This window comes from Homo sapiens, chromosome 5, assembly GCF_000001405.40.
Source record: "Homo sapiens chromosome 5, GRCh38.p14 Primary Assembly".
Classification (NCBI taxonomy): Eukaryota; Metazoa; Chordata; class Mammalia; order Primates; family Hominidae; genus Homo; species Homo sapiens.
In genome coordinates this window covers 127,962,246-127,982,558 of record NC_000005.10, presented here as the reverse complement: position 1 = coordinate 127,982,558, position 20,313 = coordinate 127,962,246, and the positions used below count along the sequence as shown (strand labels likewise).

General features: G+C 38.9%; 1 long non-coding RNA gene across 6 annotated transcripts in view; it reads left to right on the top strand.

The window, feature by feature from the left end:
• SLC12A2-DT (SLC12A2 divergent transcript) overlaps window positions 1-20,313 on the top strand; it is a 142,736-nt gene that overhangs the window by 100,617 nt on the left and 21,806 nt on the right. For 4 of the 6 annotated variants that reach the window (NR_152802.1, NR_152803.1, NR_152798.1 and 1 more), the window contains one exon: window positions 15,631-16,675. The exons of the other annotated variants lie outside the window; for them this stretch is intronic. This is a non-coding gene — a long non-coding RNA (SLC12A2 divergent transcript). Of the gene's footprint in view, window positions 1-15,630; window positions 16,676-20,313 lie in introns of those variants that run through there. 6 annotated transcript variants of the gene reach the window in all.

The following is a 20,313-nucleotide window of genomic DNA, read 5'->3' as shown; positions in this document are numbered from 1 at the left end:
CCATTCAGAATTAAAGAAATCCAGATATCTCAGACATGACCTTAAGTAAAATTAAAACTGCTAGAGAGTGTCTCACCCTTGTTGAGGTTTTTCTTTACTATCTAAGGTTAAAATAATCATTAAAAATAATTGAAATGGCTTGTTGAGAGAGCTGCTTACCATGTTACTCCAAGGCAAACCAAGGCATTGGCCAAAATGGCTTAAGTCTCCAATGTGAAATGCCAGAACCATCAGTGATCAAGCCAAGCTCACTAATTTCCATGCAACCCAAGTAAATCAGAGTTAGATAAGAAAGTGTTTGACCTCTGCAAGGGCACTGAGAGAGATCTCCCTCTCAGTATTTCCACTCTGTTTTCATGTGAGTCTAAGAAAGAAAAGTGTTGATGCAGAAAGTATAAAAATTCGAGCTTCCTGATTTATGCCTAGGTTGTTCTCAAACCCAATCCCTGCTCATTCTCTTTTTGACACTTAATTATCCTGTATCTAAAACAATTTGAGCATCCCTTTCAGTTGTCTGTCTTGTTTTTTTCTTTAAGAATTTTATAGCTGCAAGTAGGCAAAGGAACAGAATTTAGTGCTTAAAGACAGTATGATCTACTTACAGGAAAGAACTCAAATCCTGTTATGCACAGTTAACAGCATTAACTTCATCTATCTACCTTCTGAAACGCAGAAATGGAGTAAGCAGGGTTAATGATATTTATTTCCTCATGTTGTTGTGAGGATTAAATGGTCTTTCATGTATGGGAGAACAAAGTCATGTTAACATCTTTATCCCAATTTCCCTGGCTCAGATTCTCTTCAAACATTGCTGCCGAGCATCCCGACACCCTCCTTCTTCTTTCCCCATTCCCTCTAGGTATTTCTGGAATGTCCTATGTGTTTTCACACATGCCCACGTGAGGGTCTCAGCCCTTATAAAATTTGGAGTAAAAGAGTCCCTTTAACCTCTGCCTTCAACCTTTTGGCCCATAGGCTTCAGGCTGGAGATTAGACAAAATTTTCTCTATAAGCCTATTTTCCTTTTCTCTCCCAATATACATTTCTGTTCAGATTTATAACTTAACTACCTCTTACTTGTATGCAAATAAACTCCTAAAATAGACTCAGGAATCACCATATCTTCCAGTTTCTAAGCTTAGCTAGACCCTGAATTCTGATTTGGGCTGACTGGAACGTAAGAATCTCTCCATTACAAGATCTAATTTTACCTTCAGAGAGGCTCAGTGGCATATCCAAAATCACAGAGTCAGGACTCCAACTCAGATCTTGTGACACCATAGAACCTCTTCTGTATGCAACAGTTGGAGTTAGACCCTGGAGCTAGATTGCCATCTTCAAAGCTGGGATCATTGCTTTCTCATCAGTGATATTGGACCAAGTCTACTCAGGGACAGAAGACTCAAAGTCTATTTTGTGACTTAGCCTGGTTGTTGCCCTCCATGATTCTGATCTATAAAGGTCATTCTGCAAAATCTATGATGCCTTCCTACTTAGTAGGAAAAATCACATCTTTATTTTTCACCCTTGGCAAATATGTGAGTGTACTTTTCTTGAGTAAATACTAGTTATTTGTGTTTAATTTCTATTGTGTACTCAAAATTTCCATTTATGGGCAGAGTCACAGCTTAAGTTAAACCTGCCTCATAGGATTTTTGTATTCAATATTTTTCTCTCTTTTAAACTTTAAAAAAAATCCTGGAATAATTCTTGGAGAACATTGGCAGAGACAGCTAGGTAGTGCTGTCACACACATACATACAGAAACATCCAGTGATTTTTAGTTTTTCTACCAAAGGAGCTGCCCACTTGGCATCCAGATTCACGTACAAGTGACATGCAGTTAATGTTCATGGAAGTCAGCTGAGATAGCCCGGCCAGCTTACTCCTATGAACCACCCTCATGTAATTCAGAAAACTGATATGTTGAAAACCCATATAGCATTGATTTCCAGCCAAGAAACTAATAACTATTTCTTGCATAGTCAAAAGAGATCAGCTAAAATGATCCCTCAGAGCCCCTTTTATGAGGGAGGCTTGCAGGCCTCCACAAGCTACTGCCAGATGTTTTCTACCCCTTTGGAGGGGCTGGCCTATAGACTCAGAAAACTATCTGAAGCTCGTGGCTCTGCCCTGTCGATTTTTGAAGAGGTAGGGAAGCCATGGCACATTATTTTGTGTAAGAATAAAGGGGATTCAGTGAATGGAAACATCATATAACTATTAAATTATAACCAAGATTGTCATTATTAGGTATGTTTGCTGTAAAATGTCTCCAAAAGAATCCCTTTCTGTTCTTCCTCATTGTCTTTATTTTGATTTCACTTCACTTCTGTGTCTTTTTATACCTCTTGGGCAGGAATTTATACCAAAATGAAACTTGTATCAAAAACCATAACCACCAGACTGTCTTGCTAACCCTGAACCAAAGATAGATCAGCAAATAAATATTTATTTAAGGCATGGGCTAAATGAAAGACTTTGGTTTTCTTTCTTTCTTTTTAAAATTCTAATGAATAGGTTTGAAATGGAATGACCTTTTTTCCCCTTAATCGAGAACACCACAAAGTATTCTCAGAAATGAAGTGAACAAAATTTATGATTTTTAAAATTCTAAGTCTACAATCAAATGGAGAGATCTGGGGTCACTGCCTGGGAGATGTATTTATTACCTGAGATGTTGGGCAGATGATTAAGCTTTTTATAGCTATGTCTCATTTCTTGCCTGTCTTCCCTGTCTTCCCCCTTAATTTCAGGAAGTTGATTACTGAAACTTGGGCTGACCCCTATACTCTCCTGGTGCTGTCTGTATTGGCACCCATGACCTGTGGAGTCTAGAAAGTCCTTGGAATGGGTAGGAAACCATTAACCAATCAAATCTTTGTTCTGTGCACTCCTATTAGCTCTTGAACCTTAGAAAGCAGATTAGATACTGCTCCAGCTTTCCAAAAAAGAGAGAGAGAAAAAAAAATGCCAGATTTTCCAAAGGTATTATAGATAAGCACTCTCTCTTAAGCTTAAGCTTGGGTTATTTAAAATAATTACTGTAACACCTGTACTTTCCTTTATTTTCTGTACCAGGCAGAAATAAACCCGAGGACTACTTTGCACACCGAAATTTGCAGGAAAATGAGACCCTCAATTCAGCCTGACATTTCCATTAGCACTTAAATGAATGGTAGCCTAGCAGCTCACATTAGAGACTTCTCCTCTCAACTAAATGTGACAGGAAATTACCCCTGGCACTTTGGGGGACAATTGTTCCTTCTCACCCCATTTCTATACACAAAAAGTCCCGCTGTTATCACCTATATTGATTTTAGCTCAATTTGTACTAGAGAGAAAGGTTTTCATTTTAAAGTTAAAAAAAAAATCCCAGATTAACTTAGTTAATCTTTAGCACAACCTCATGAGGGCAGTTCTATTACTTCCACTTCACACAAGAAGAAAGTAGAGGCATAATGTTTTACATTCCCTGACTATGTAGACTCTGTGATGGCCTAATTTGTTTTGTTTACTGCTGTTTTCTCAAAATCTAGAATGGTTGGCACATAATAGGCGCTCAATAAATACTTGTAGACTGACGTATGCATGCATGCATGAATGAATAAATGCACAAACAACCCAAAGGTCACATAGCCAACTGGGACCTAAACAGCTATCTAACCCCAATGCCTGTGTCCTTGGTGACCTCGGCACACAGATGATTCAGGTGGTATGCCTGCACTGTGACCTCGCTCTACCCAGAAGAGGAAGGGGCTACCTGCTCATTGTCATAACCTTTGTGAAATCACCAACCAAGGTAGGACCAGATTTAGGTCCTCCTAGGGTTGTCGTAGCTACTTGTTTGAGTTTGATATGAACAATCCGGTGAAGTGAAGAAGTAGGTAGTGTAATGAAATCTGATAGAACTCTTAACTGCCTAACATGTACCCTCTCTCTGCTCCAGTTCCATCATCTGGAAAATAGAAATAATTATATTTACCTCATGAGGGAATTGTGAGGGTTAAATTTTAAAATATAGATAAAACACCTAGCATCAATGTCTTGTACATAGTGGGCATTCAGTAATAGTTTACCTTTTCCTCCACCCATTTAACCTGAAGCTCTGTCCCCATTTTGGATAGGCAACACAATGCTCTGCTCTCTTCTTTTCAAGCATAGCGGAGAGGGAAAAAGCCTGAACAAGAAGATTCGCCCTAGGGGATAGAGGATGAAAATGTACTGAATTTGTACTCACTGTTCCTCTGCAGGTAAAACATTCCCTTGCAGATATTTCAGCGTATGTGTTAAATACTCTGAGATAATTCTGGCATTTGTGGATATGAAATAAATGCCAAATTGACTAAGGTGTTGTGGATGCTGAAACAAAGCCTAATTAAATAGTATGAAACACTGTAGGTAATGTGCAGCTGTTGTGAGGTTAGGGAAGGCAGCCTTTTCAGAATTTTTATTAAGAGAAGGAAGGATTAGAATTAAGCATTACTAAGGACTCAGATTTTACGAAAACTTGTTTTTTAAAAAATGTACATATGAAGCTTAAAGTGTCTTTTACAGAAAAAAGGAATGGCATCCAAAATGGGATTGAAATGGCTTTGAACGTTTTCCTTGAATGCAACATCAGATCCTTTTCGGGACTGAAGAGGAAGGGAGGCATTGGGAAAGAAGTGAAGTGGGGATCAGTGAGGCAGGACTTAGGAAGCTCACTGGAAGAGTGGAGGCACCTGTGTCTCTGCCTCTGGGTCTCATCTTCACCCCAGCTGAGACTTGCAGTGGAAAGTATTTTTGAAAATAAGCTTTAATTTAAAAAAAGAAAGAAGGAAGGGAAGGAGTGAGGGGGTGAGGGGGGAAGGAGTGAGGGGGTGAGGGAGGAAGGAGGGAAGGAAGGAAAGAAGGAAGGAAGGAAAGAAGGAAGGGAGGGAGGGAAGGAGGAAGGGAAATGCCTGTTAAAGCACCTGCAGCAGAGTCCTGAGAGCCGGAGCTCAGGAGCTGCCACTACTGCTTACAGTGTATTGTTCTGAGCTACCAGCATGATGAAGTCTACATTCAGAAAAAAATGTTACATCCGAAACTGGACACTCAGCCAGAACTGAAGCAAAGTTCCCTGGACTGGGAAATAAGCTCTCCCTTGTATTCTTGTTTCCTTTCCTACTGTCACCCAAAAGGTTAGCAGCATTGCTTCATTTCTGTAAAATGTCTTGAAGATTCGAACAATGGAAAGAAGGCCTTTAGTAAAATGTTTTCCTCTTAAAACAAGGGGTAATAAGGCTAGATTTAGGAATAGGAGTTTAAAGATAAAGCAAAGATGAAGTCCTATTTGTCTTCTCTCTTTCTGCCTCCTGCAGGGCCATAGTAAGTAGCCGTATGAGGACGGATGCTGGCTGTGTTTGTATCTCATTTCCATGGCTACTTCACATGTCTTCCTTTTGCCTGTCATCTTCTTTTATTCTTGTCTTTATTTATCTTTTTTCCTATTCCTGCTATTTTGATTTCCATTCCATTGAATTCTGCTCCAGTCTTCCTTTTTTCTGTCTTACTAATATGTTTATACAATAATTTCTCAGAATGACGGGTTTAGAGATACCCCTTCTTCACTCTGCCAATGTTAAATGCAAGAGATTTTTATTATAGAGTTTATTTAAAAGAATTTTTCTCTGAAAACTTTTCTTAAAAACTGGAATGCTCTTTGAGATAGTCTGATACAGATTGGGGTGTAGCAAAATGAGGGCTGTGCTTCTGAGGCAGGAGAATAGGGCATGGAGGCAGGTAACCTAAGAACTTCTTAGAACGAAATCAAACGGAAACACATCAGCTATGACGGGAAATAGCCTCTTCATTTACATAGGGCGTACACTAATAAATGACTTTGCAACTTCACTTTAGCCTCTTCATTTACATGGGACATACAACAAGTAACCAATGGAAGCCTCTAGAGGGTATTTAAGCCCCAGAAAATTCTGTAACTGGGCTCTTGAGCCCCTATGCTCAGGCCTGCTCCCACCCTGTGGAGTGTAGTTTCATTTTCAATAAATCTCTGCTTTTGTTGCCTTATTGTTTCCTTGCTTTGTTGGTGCGTTTTGTCCAATTCTTTGTTCAAAATGCCAAGAGCCTGGACACCCTCCACCGGTAACACTTCCCAGCCCTGAAGATCTTGGTAGATCCCAGACAAAGTAAAATACGTTTGCCTTTAGTTAGAATAACGTACCATAATAACTGGAGAGAAGATTGTAGTATAATTTATAGGTGACCTAACATGTTTTCTGTGTGGATGATAGCAGACTAAATTATGAACCCTGAACCTTCATAATATGATTATCAAGCTTAATAAGAATTCTAAGTGTAACTTTGAACTTGTTGACCAGCCTCTTCTGGTCCCCTCTCTCTCCTACCCTCCCCAGCCACTGGTGGCCACTGTTCTACCTTTCCTTCCATGAAATAAACTTTTTTAGATTCCACATATGAGTGAGATCATTTGATGTTTGTTTTTCTGTACCTGGCTTATTTCACTTCACATACTGTCCTCCAGGTTCATCCGTGTGCCATCCACCTATCAATGGGCATTTAGGTTATAGTTAGAAAGGAAGAGTTAGTTCTAGTGTTCTAGTACACAGAAGGGTGACTATAGCAAAGCACGATGTAGTGTATATTTCAAGTTAGCTAGAAGACATTTTTAATATTATCACCACTAAAAAATGATAAAATGCTTAGGGTGAAGAATATGGTTATTACCCTGATTTGATCATTAAACAACTTATACAGGCATTGAAACAACACACTGTACCCCATAAATATGTGAAATTATTATGTGTCAATTGAAAAATAAACATTAATTTATTAAGAAAAAATTCTAAAGGTCTTTCTATTATTCCTATCTCAGTCCTGGGTGCCTAAAATCAACTTTGAATTATTCATGCATGGTTAATCCAACACCATTCCTATTATCCAGCACTCACTTTCTTCTATAACATATTTAGGAGGCGACAATGATGCAAAATTCATAATATGGTCAATATAATATAATTACAGGTCTAATATTAATTATTTTATTGGCAGAGTAACTATTTTTAGGAATTATACCTTTTTTTTTCTTTTCTAATAACCCTATTGTCTTCTCTTTTCTACCCATCCTGACTTGTTCATTTATTCCATAAACATTAAATGCCTACAAGGCATTCAGCTATGTCCTGGGCATTAGAAACACCGTAAGTGAACAGATCAACATGGCTAGGTCATCCCAGAGCTTCACATTTACTTCTTTCTTCAAGTGGCTTGGTTTTTACTAGGCTTCAATGACTACAAAGAAAAAAAAAGTTCATTTCTTGACTTGAATATTGATACTTTCAAACATAGCAATGCTACACTCCCCAATAAATCCTTTTTGAAGACTGAAACAGTTTAGTTTGTAAGAGTATACCTTGAAATCAACAATTTATCAAGCTTTATAAAGTACCTATAGAGTGTGAACCATTGAATGTAAGATATTCTACAAATAAAACCCAGATGCAATTTTTTGAGGAATATATAGACATACAGACATTTTCACTTTTTTCTACTTTTGATTTATTTATTTATTTAAATAGAGGTATAAGCTGGGTGCGGTGGCTCAAGCCTGTAATCCAGCACTTTGGGAGGCCAAGGTGGGCTGATCTGAGGTGGGCAGATCAGGAGTTCGAGACCAGCCTGGCCAACATGGTGAAACCCTGTCTCTACTAAAAATATAAAAATTAGCTGGGGCGTGGTGGTGGGTGCCCGTAATCCCAGCTACTCAGGAGGCTGAGGCAGGAGAATCGCTTGAGCCTGGGAGGCGGAAGTTGCAGTGAGCAGAGATCGAGCCACTGCACTCCAGCCTGGGTAACAGAGCAAGACTCTTTCAAAAAAAAAAAAAAAATAGAGGTATAATTTACATATAATAATATTGGTAGATGTTAAATTTTCAGTTTAGTGAATTTTGACAAATGCATACAGTTATGGCATCTACACTTCTGTTAAGATAGATAACGCTTCCATCATCCCAGAAAGTTTCCTTTCCTCGTTCAGCCAATTATTTCCTTTCCCAATACCAGAGAACCTTATTTCTCTCACTGTGGATTAGGTTTGCTTGTTCTTGGTCTTTATATACGTGGAATCAGATAGTATGTACTTTCTGGTTTTTTTCCTTTAAATATTATTTTTGAGATTCATCCATATTATTGTGTATATCAATAGTTTGTTTCTTTTTAATTCTGAGTAGGATCCATTGTATAGCTATACCACAATTTGTTTTTCCATTCAGTTATTGATGGACATTTGGGCTGTTTCCAGGCTTTAACTACTGTAATGAAGTTTTCTTATACAAGTCTTTTTGTGGACAATTTTTTTTCCCCAATTCTCTTGGGTGAGGACCTTGAATGGGATTTCTGGGTCATAGGATAGGTTTCGATTTAACTTTATAAGAAACTACCAAAACATTCTTCAAAACAGTAGTTATATTCCCATTAGCAACATTTGAGAATTCTAGTTGTTCTGCATTCTCACCAATATTTTGTATGCTAGCCTTTTTATATTAAATTTTATTTTTAATTGACAAGTAATTATCATATATATTTACGGTGTATGACCTGGTATTTTGATATGCAGCATTTTTACCTTGTGGAATAATTAAATCAAGCTGATTAACAAATTCATCACCTCACATACTTAGCATTTTTGTGGTAAAAACATTAAAACTCTGTTCTTTTAGCAATTTTGAAATATAAAACACATTATTATAATCAACATTGTGTGCAATAAGTGACTAAAGCTTATTCCTCTGGGCTAATGGAAACTTTGTACCCTTTGATCAACATCTCCCCTTTCCCTGTCCACTAACATCCCCAGCCCCTGGTGACCACCATTCTACTCTCAGCTTCTATGAGTTCAACTTTTTTAGATTCCACATAAGAGTGAGATCATGTGGTATTTGTCTTTCTGTGCCTGGCTTATTTACTTAGCACAATGTCCTCCAGGTTCATCCATGTTGCCTCAAATGACAGAATTTCCTTCTTTTTTGAGGTTGCATAGTATTCCATTGTGCATATACACCACCTTTCAAAAATCCATTTATCTGATGATGGATACCTAGGTTGCTTCCATATTTTAGGTATTGCAAATAATACTCCAATGAATATGGGAGTGCAGATACCTCTTTAACACACTGATTTCAATTCCTTTGGATATATGCCCAAAAGCAGAATGCTGAATCATATGGTAATTCTATTTTATGTTTTCTGAGGAACCTCCATACTGTTTTCCATAATGGCTATATTAATTCCTACCACCAGTTATGCCAGTCTTTTTTATTCTATTTATTGTGAGTGGATGTGACAAGGTGTCCCATTATAGTTTGTACTTTGTATTTATTTAATGATTAATGATTTTGAGCACCTTTTCATGTTTTTATTCCCTATTTGCATATCTTCTTTTGTGTAGTATCTGGTCAAACTTTTGTCTTTTAAAAATGGATTTATGGGCTGGGTATGGTGGCCATGCCTGTAATCCCAACACTTTGGGAGGTCCAAGTGGGAGGATCTCTTAGAGCCAGGAATTTGAGACAAGCTTGAGCAATCAAGAGTCTGTATATACCTAAATAAATAAATAAATAACCGGTCATGTACCTGTAGTCCCAGCTATTTGGGAGGCTAAGGTGGGAGAATCACTTGAGCCCAGGAGTTTGAGGCTGCAGTGAGCTATGATGGCACCACTGCATTCCTGCGTGGGTGACAGAGAGAGCCTGTCTTCTGAAAAAGAAGAAGAACAGAAAAACAAACAAAAAATCCCAATGGATTTATATATCTTTTTATTGACTTTATGAATACTTTATATATTATAGACACAAACTCTAAATTAGAAATATTTATGTGAATAGTCTCTCCCAGTCTATGTCTATGGCTTTTTCTTCTGTGAGTAAAGTATAGGAGAAGTTGCTGCAAAGACTGAGAGAAGCATTGATTTAGCTGGGAGTTTGAGGATCATGGATGGCTGTGGAAGTCTGCAAGAGATGAGGGAGGGTAAGGACTATAGATCAGAAATTAAGGGCAGTGATTTCTAAGGTGACCCTTCGGTTCACTGGCCAGACATCTGCAATGGCTCCCTATCAGAGAAGGAGGGAGAATGGGTTAGTGTAGAGTTGCGTATTGAAAAGGGGGACAAAGTAATAGGACAGGTGGTGGAATCTCAGATGTCAGAAAGACTACGACAGAAATGGCAGACGTAAGTCTATCCTGAGAAGGAAGGAATTCAGGGTCAGAGGACGGCTGATGGAATGGAAGAATATGGAGCTCTTGAAAACAAATGTGTTAAATGGTGGTAGAATTGTCTGATTATGGGCAATGATATGACTGAAACACCATTTCTTTTTCTATAGGAATTTTTATGCAGGTATGGCCGACCTAGACCTAGTCTAAGGTTGTGGACATTTTAACTATCAGAAGAAGGATTAGAAATCGATTTTTGGAGCCATACCAGAGAAGTTGTTCTAGAGTCCTATGAACTCCAAGTTTCTCTATACCCTCTCATACATAGGTCCAGCAATTTTACAAAATTTAATCAACTGTGCTGTCTTAAAAGTAATTACTTCCTACTGATAAGCTAGTTCCTCTCCTTTGGAAAAATGCTTTCTCAGTGGTAACTGTTTTACATTTGGCATGGCTTGCGTATTACATTTACTTTCGCCTAGAAGCACAGCTCTAGATATCTTGTAGAAGATGAGATACCAAAAAATAGAGGAAGAAAGGGAGAGAGAAAGCAAGACATCTGGCATCCCGAAGGGCTCTGGAGGAACAACATATCCCATATGAGCTACCAGAATATTGAGAAGGCTCATTTCTGAACTTTGGTCTCTCTCATATTCCTCATGTCTTCATGTCTTAACTAAAATTTGACAGTAGTCACTGAGCAAATTTCACCATTTGAAATTTGATGCAGATTCTAATTTTCCCTCAGGTTTGCTGTAAATACACCCAATATTCTGCCAAAACACAGTCTCTTGTGGAGATAAATTTAATAAGAAGAAAGAGAAAGGAGGAAATTGAACTTACTCTAGCTTTGGCTTGATTTGCAGTAGACCTCTGAGTCTAATCATTCTTTAATACTAGTTGACTAAGTCAATTCACTACAAAAAGTTAATAATATAATACTTCTGAATCAGTGTTTGACATAATAACTATAACCCAATTGATTACTTGGTTAAATATTTTCACACCTCAGTCAATGGCTATTGCCACATTTTCCATCCTATTTTCTGCTTGGCCTAGGACAAGTGGCTTGTCAGTTGTATCTAATTTTAGACTTTTAGAATCCTTCTGGAGTGTATTATTATCATCTATTATTATCTATCTATTTTCTATTATTATCCTCTAGAGTCTATTATTATCCCTCCAGCTTCAATTATTCTTCTTTTAAATTGTTTCAGGCCAATGGGCAAGTCTCCTAATCTCCGGGGAAGGGCATGTTCTTGTGACCTAATTCAGGACTCAGTAAATTGTACTGTTCAATTTAATGACGTTGTAGGGGAATGCATGGTATAAAAAGCACTGCCCTCAAGGCTGTAAGCATCTAGTTGGGACAAGACATGTGTGTGAAAAAACAGCTAACACAGTAGGTTATTAAGTGCCTAATATAAGTACTTGACAATATGTGCTGTAAGAATTCAGAAGCAGGAGAAATCAGTGTAGTCTGGAACACTCAAGAAAAATTTTGTGAAGGGTTAGAGACTGGAGGATAAATATGATACCAAGAAGAAGATAAAAGTGGGGAGGGCAGGCCAGGTTGAAGGCACGGTACAAGTGAGGCATTGAGGTGGAAAGGCTCATGGGTACTTGGGAAATGATGGTTAGTAGAGAATGGTTAGAGAGCAAGTTTCAGTTCAGAAATGGGAGATAAGTTTGGAAATCTGGGGTGGAATAAACAGTGGCAAATCTTGAATATAACTAACTGATCCAAGGAACTTGGAATTTGTTGTGTGGGATGTAGGAGGCTATGTTTAAGCAGGAGAGAAACATGATAAATTTAAACCTACTTTCTATTTGGTTCTCTATAGAAAAAGGATTGTTAGCTTCTGTCTTCCATATATTAAAATTTTAATGTACTAGATGCTAATTATTAAATTATGTTCTTCTCTTCCTGGAACTAGATGCATCTGTGAACCCATCTCCCATTCTTTTAAAGGTATTCACCTGAACTTTTCCAGATATTTTAACCACAATTCAGTTCCTTGAAAAAACACTATAGCCTTTGTTTTTCTGTCAGAGAATTTCAGGTAAGAGCATCTGACTCAACTGTCAGTGATTAAGATGGCTCAACAAGTCAGTGTCTGTGAAGCATGAACATGGACTCCTAATGCTCCACATTTAGTTTTCCTTTATTATTTTCCTATAGAAAACATTTTTAGATTTAACAAACTTTATCAGAACATGACAAGTCAGTTTTCTTTTGGCGCTGTAAAATGTCTTTCAGAGAGATGATACTAGTAAAACTCAGATGGCCCTATTGAGAACTGCTTGTGTCTCAGAAGCAGTTGAAAATTGTCTGACAGTGAGTTTTGATAGAAAGAAGCAGGGCAGTGCAAACAACTATATACACTCTTTGGGACCTGCTATTTTTCTGAGTGACTTCACATTGGGAGTCCTAGAGATAAGCAACCACTTGGTCTCTGCTGAAGAAAGATTCCCTTTCATTTTGACCAACCCTATACAAACCAGGTCACTGCATGTTGTATTCATGGCTTCACAAAGCCCTGCTTTCATTCTGATTGGAGGCTGATCTCTATTCAGGACCTTTGCTGTTGATGGCCACCAAATAAAAGGAAAGGGATCTGATGTTGGCCAGGCCAGGATGGGCAGAACTGTGAAGTGGAAGTTTCTTAGTCCCAAAATGGGGCATTCATCTGGCCCAGGCAGTGCCACTTGCTCGCTTGTTTCCTAGTTTCCCCTAGCTTTAGATCCCTGAAAAATGTTAATCTTACTGTGTTAGTCAGGGCGTGACCCACTTGTGTAATCTTGTGGGATTAAATCTCCGGGATTTAAAGTACTATGCTATGTAACGGAGGCAGTATATTTGAATAGTTGGCCTTTTCTTGAAGGAAAAATTGTGTTATGCAAGGAGCCACCTTTTTGCATGTATAATTTGTTTGTCTCTAGAATTTTAGAGTCGACTGGGATTTTACAGATTATTTAATTCAGTTATCCCATTTTACAAATGAGGAAATTAAGGTTCAGAGATACCAACCAATATGGTGGTTTGCCCTGAGCTAAGTAAGAGGTTTCCTGGGATGCAGCACTTTCAGTGCTACAACTGGGAAAGTCCCAGGCAACTGGGAATAAGTTGGTCACCCCAGCAACCAATTACCTAACTCAAAGTTTCACAGCCGTTACTGACACATTGCAAACTAAAACACATGCTGACTTCTAGCACAAAGCCTTTCTTAGGACAACATGATACAATCAAAATAGTTTCTCATTCATGAGCCACATATTAAGACTTTGGAATACTATAATGGTCAGGTCGACTTTATGTTCTAGATATTTATGAAAGTTTTCTCTGACTTCTGATTTAGGCCATCTTATCCCTAAGAACTCAGCATTAGTACATACATTTTTAATCTAATTTAGATTTAATAAGGATAGCAGGCTATTTCTGTCTTTATTGAATGGAGAAAAAAAATCAATGCAGTGTATTAAGGATAGCCAAAGAGAGTATTTGTTTTGGATATTAGTTTAGGACCATAGTTACTAGATCTCAAACATAAGAGGCTTCAGTTAAAGGCAAGAGACAATGGATAGGAATTCTGTATTAATAAAAATTGGGAAGCAGTGAAGTCAATTGATACACATAGCTTTCAAATTGCATCATTACAGGTACAACCTGGGCAAAACTTTGTGACTCCTTGTGAAAAGGGTGAAATGCTTAAAAACCCAGGTTGATAAAAATTGCTGAACTTATCCTAAGACAAACCTTCTTTTATCTACTTCTTAAATATTGGTGATTCACTGGATTCCTCTTGATCATGGTTTTCTTCATATGCTACATGCTGTTTGGGGGGCAAACTTGACCATGAGTTCAACTGTTTATGACAGAGTCAGGCAATGTGCTGCCTGCCTGCCACTGTACCTCTGGCTTAGGCCCATGGCATGTATTGCTGATTTGTCCTGGTACTCATTCCTGCCCATCCTTGACTTGGCCGCACAGTCCTTCTGAACATGTGTCTTCAATATGACACTACAAACTGATCCAAATTGGCATGAAAGACTAACTCTATCCTTGGATCTGCCATTAATTAATCTTAGACCCAGATAAAACCCAAATTTAGGTATTTAATCCAGGCCTCCTCCAAGCTGCCTATCTGAATGTCTAAAGCCCATGTGCCATCTCTACCTGGATGACTTAGGGATAACTCTGTTTCAACATGTTCAAATGTGAACTCATCTTTACCCTCCAGGTCTGCTTTTCTTCTGTTTTCCTTACTCCTGCCATTCAATTAGTCACCAAAGCCTATATTTTATTCACTATAAACACCTCTTGAATCCTTCTCATGCCTTCTATCCCTGCTGCCACTGCTTTATTTGGGCTCTTGCAAAGCCTGCTTGCTGGTATCTCTAACTTGATTCTCCTCTCTTCCTTCCTCATATCTACAAGAGGGATTGCTCCCAAAACCACAGATCTGACCATGGCCATTCCTTTCCTCAGAAATCCCTAGAATGGCTCCCCGTGGCCTTCAGAATGAATATAGTTCAGGCCTCATAATTCAGCTTATAAGATCCTGATTGTTCCTCTGTGCCTGTTTTTACAGAAGTGCTGACTTCTTCCCTGTTTTAATATTTGCTGAAGATTTGACTCATTTATTTGTCTTTTAAAAAGACAACATTGGTTTGTTTTATTAATCAAAGCTTTATTAATCTTTCAGTTTTCTATTTTATAGTTATCTTCTTTTATTCTTATTTGTATTTATTTTCCTTTATTAATCTTCTTAGTTGAAATGTAACTGCCTGAGGGGTTTTTCCTGCCCGCTGCACAAAGACAGACCATGGCATTGTAGTAGAGAAATAGTTTAATAGACATGAGGCCAGCCACACCATGTGGGAGATGGAGTTAGTACTCAAATCATTCTCCTCCATAGCCTTTAGGTTAAAAGTATTTCAAAGGCATTTTGGGGGAAAGGGTGAGAGTGGCTAGGCTTGCAGCTGATTAGTTGAGGCAGAGATGAATTCATAGGGGGTCGAATCTGTCCTTCTGCTTGCTGAGTCACGTCTGGGTGGGGCCACGGGAGCAGGCTTGGGGGATCCCAAGTGGAGTCATGGGTGTCAGACATGCAAAGAAACTTGAAAAGATATCTCAAAAGGCCAATGTCAAGTAGTGGTGTTATTTGTAGGAGTAAATGGGGAAGTTGCATGTCTTAAAACCTCTGGAATACCGCCTAACAATCGTTCATGTCTGGGCCTTAGCGGGATTCAGGCTCCTCTCCTTCCCCAAGCCTGTTGGCTTTCCATGAGCTTTACAAAAGCATTTAGCTCCGCTCTCTTTCACTGTCATACTTTTCTCACTGATAATGATTTTTGCAAAGGTGGTTTCACAAATACTTAGTTTTCAATTTTATTATTCTCTTATATATGTTTTTAGGAATGGATTTTCTTCTGTGTATTGCTGACACGAACAGGAGACGGAAATACTGAGTAGAAGAGGGCGGTTCCCTGGCTAAGGCCCCACCCTCAAGCCTGGATACCCGCGGCCCTAAATGAGAAGAGGCGTTTCTGTTTGGGGCCCAAAAAGTTGCTTTTTGACCCACCACGCCCCCTATCCTGCCCCCATATAAACCCCAAACCCCAACCTCCAGAGCATACCAGCAGGTGAGGAGATACGAGGCAAGCCGACTGACGGCAAAACGACGTAGCAGAGAAAGAGAGAAGAGGAGGGACGTCTGGACACCGAGAGATGTTTGGCTCGGGGCAGTCAGAGCGGAGTCCAGCCCCTGGGCGGCCCAACTCCAGGGGAAGATCACCTTCCCACTTCATCCATCCCCACCCTTCCAGCTCCCCATCCATCCTGCTGAAAGCCATTTCCACCACTCAATAAAACCTCGCATTCATCCTTCAAGTCCGTGTGTGACCCGATTTTTCCTGGATTCTGGAAAAGAGCTCGGAATACAGAAAGCTGTCCCCTGGTCCTTTGCCCTTGTGAAAAAGCAGAAGGTCCATTGAGCTGGTTAACACTCCAGCTGTCTGTGGTGGCCAAGCTGAAAGAGCTTTGTAACACTGGGGTTGCAGGCACCCACCTCTAGACGCTACCGCAGAGCCAGAGCCCAAAGCCCTCACCCCGGCCTCTGCACTTGCCCATCTGCGTGCTCCCCCTCTCGCAAGGGGTTTCTGCAGAGGGGGCTACTGAACAGGTGAGCCACACCCCTGTCGCACGCCCTGCAAGGGGAATCAGGGAACTCTTCCGTTTCATTGCTTTGACCACATCCTATAAATCTTGTTCTCCTTGTCTTTCAGCTCCAATTTGTTTATACATTCAGTTTTTACTTTTGACTTTACTCATGATTTATTATAGAAAGATGTTTAACAATTTTCAAGCAAATGGAATAATTTTTGCTCCTCTTTCGTTGTTAATTTATTATTCATTGGAGTTAGAAAATTGTTGCTAAAATAAATTCTGCATTTTGAAATTTATCAAGAGCGTGTGTGTGAATGTATGTGTTTGGGTATGCATAGGTATGTGGTCAATTTTTGTAAATATTCTATGGATCTTAAGAATGTATATTCTCTTACTGTGGAGTATACTGTTCTCTTAATGTGTATTAGGTAATATATATATACACATATATATACATATATACATATATATACACATATATATACATATATACACACACATATATATATATAAAATCTTTTAGAAAAGTTTTCTTTTTTTTAATGGTACCTTTTCTGAGTAAGGACACACTCCTCAAATCTTTACCTTGTTCTTATCTTTTAGTGAGAGTTTGGCTAGGTATAGAATTCTAGATTCAAAATGGCCTTTCCCCAGTATTGTAATGATATTGTCCCTTTATTTTCTAGCAACTGTCTTTGCAGATAAGAAGTTCAATGTTAATCTGATTCTGTTTCCTATTGGTATACCCTTTGTTTCTATGAAGTGTTTTAGGATAGTCTGTTTATTGTTTGTTTCCAAAATTTCATCAAGATAAGCCTAGTGGGTTTTGTTTTTGTTTTTAATTTGAGGTTTTTCATCTGAAGGATGAGGATATTTTACTCTATTATTATTTTTATTTCTTCCCCTTCATCCCCTCTCTTCTGTTTTTTAGAATGCCTAATAAATGGATGAATATTCTTCTGGGTCTCTTCCTCATGTTCTTTAGGTTTTCCCCCTGTATTTTTCACCTCTTTGTCCTTCTGGACTACATAGTAGGAGAATCACTTGGCTCTATTTTCTGCCTATTTGACTGTTTAGCTGTGTACATTTTTCTGTTTGAGCCGCCAATAGATGGTGATCATATTTTTTACTTTGGAGATCTCCCTTGTCACTTTTTCACTACAATATATTATTTTCTTTTGAACACAGTATCTCTTCAAACCAATCTGAGGAAATTATTCTTATTTTGAAGTTTTATTTAATTTCTTGTGTTTATATTCCTTTGTAGTTTTCTTTCATTTGCTTGGATTTTGTTATTTCCCCAGGGGTTAATTTTTCTGCTTGTTGAGTTTAGAACTTTGTTGTGGTTATTGTTATTATAGTTGATATATTTATGGTTGATTTTCCACAAATATTTAGATATTCTGGTTATCTGTTCTTAGCTATAGATGTGAATCCTAGCCTGAATGAAAATCACTGCTCTTAGGCTGGGTGTGGTGGCTCATGCCTGTAATCCCAGCACTTTGGGAGGTCGAGGCAGGTGGATCACCTGAGGACAGGAGTTCAAGATCAGCCTGGCCAACATGGGGAAAACCCGTCTCTACTAAAAAGACAAAAAATGAGCCAAGCATGGTGGCGTGCACCTGTAATCCCAGCTACTCGGGAGGCTGAGGCAGGAGAATCACTTGAACCCGGGAGGTGGAGATTGGAGTGAGCCAAGATCGCGCCATTGCACTCCAGCCTGGGTGACAGAGCAAGACTCTGTCTCAAAAATTTAAAAAAATTCACTGTTCATGTGACACAGAAACAGGTTCTGATTACAGGAGCCCTGGGAGCTTATGTAGGGAAAGTATGAATGAGATCACAAATGCCAAGAGCTCCAGTCCCTCACAGTAACCATAGGTTGTAGTACTGCTCTGCTTCTCCAGCCTCAGCTACTCTGGAATTCTCTATGCCCCAACTTTCACTTTAGAGAAGTGTTCTCATGGCTTGAATCTGGAGTCGTAGCTCTAAGAAGTAACCACTGTCTTCATGACATCAGGGACATGAGTGGACACTGATGTAAATGTTTTGAAATCCTTTAATTAGTCAGCTTACTAACGGTCTTCATCCTGCTCTTTCCCCTAGTTCCCACTGGTTCTGCTCTTTGGATTATTTGGGGGCACAGTTGGGAAAACACACTCTGTTTGACCTTCTGTTTCTTCTATATGAGATCGTGGCTTCCTCAGCTTTCTTAGTTTCCACTTTCAATCTAGTCTGAATGACTCCATATCCTCTAGAAATTTGATCGGTGGCATCACTTTCGAATTTCCCACTCTATTACGGATTCACTTTTTATGTGTATGTATATGTGGCTTTCTGTCATCTTAATGGGATTTCTTTCCCCCACAGTAAACTTTTGTATTCAGTTAGCCAATGTGAACCGGAAAGCCAATTCTTTGTTTAGGACTTCAATATATAACCAGGACTTTTCCTTTTTATTGTTCCCTCTGTTGAAGGATTTAGAACAGATGTCTCAAATCAGGTCAGAAGTATTCTGAGCTATGCCCCAAACATGCTGTTTTTTGCTTCATGATTAGAGTCTCTTGCTGAGGCACATGTCAGATATCTTCTACTTCAGGGTAAGAACTTGGGGACCACGTTTATCTCAAAGGCTCAAACTTTGAGCATGTTTCTCAAAATCCACTTTGCATTTATCTCAGGAAGTATCAGAACCTTTATACAACAAGAACTCCTGGTTATCTTTTCATCCCAGAGTCTCCAAGGATATACAGATTAGGTCCCCTCAAATTCACTCATGGTTGTGTAACATTTCTCACCTTATCTAGACTTTTACACTGGTATTTCATTTGAGCCTCTTGATAATTTTCTTGTAGTTATAGAATATTATCCTCATTTGGCACATGAGGAAATTGATTCAGACAGGTTCTTTGCCAAATTATACAAATACAAAATGGAAAAGCCAGTTCATAAGCCCCAAAATTCTTTTTCTAAGTACCGTGTTTTGCTTCTATACCTCCTGTGGACTGCGGTATAGAAAGAAAGCTGAGGTGAGATCAATGTCCTTAGACCAAGATTGGTTTTAAATCTAGATATGTATCCTTGAGGCTAGACAGTAATTGAACTAGACTCTAGGAATTTGATTCAATATTTACTGAGAAGAGTATGTCTGCCGATGACAGATTAAGTTTTTATATTATTTTAAAAAGTCATAGAATTAGCTACTCATTAAAGAAGCTCCCCTGAGAAAAACATAGGAATTTCATGAATTATTTCTTTAAGATGCTTGGTGACCTGTATTAACTCCATTTTTCTGTCCAGGTTCACTTTAGTGTATGTATCAGTTATTTATTGCTGTTTAACAGGCCCCTTCCATGCCCCAAGCTTAGTAGTTTAACACAGCTGCCATTTATTATTGCTCCCAAATTTACCAGTCAGCTGGGTAGTTCTGCTGATCCATCCAGGCTTAGCTAATCTCTGCTGGGCTCACTCATGTGTCTGTGGTCAGCTTGAGGATTGACTGGAGGCTAGCTGTTGTATTCATGTGTTTGGTCATTGGCTGGCTTGCTACTGGCCAGGATGATGCCTCTTATCCAGCAGGACAACCCAGCTTTATTCATGTGGTGGCGTCCAAGCTGCAAGAGAGCAAGTGGAAGCAAGCCTTTTGAGCTCTAAGATTAGAAGTGGTACAATGTCACTTCTGCATTTCATTGGTCGAAATAATTCATAAAGCCAGTCCAGGTACAAAGAGTAGTGAGGGAGTTGCAAAGTCATATTGAAAGGGTCATGCATACAGAAAGAAGAATTGCCATCTTTTTTGCAAACAATCTATCATACCTGGCCTTTGTACATATGCCTCAGTTGCTATGAGTGTTGACTGCCAAAGGGTCACAGATGCCTCTGGCTATGAACTGACTTGTGTCACCTCAAAGTTCGTATGGTGAATCCCTAATC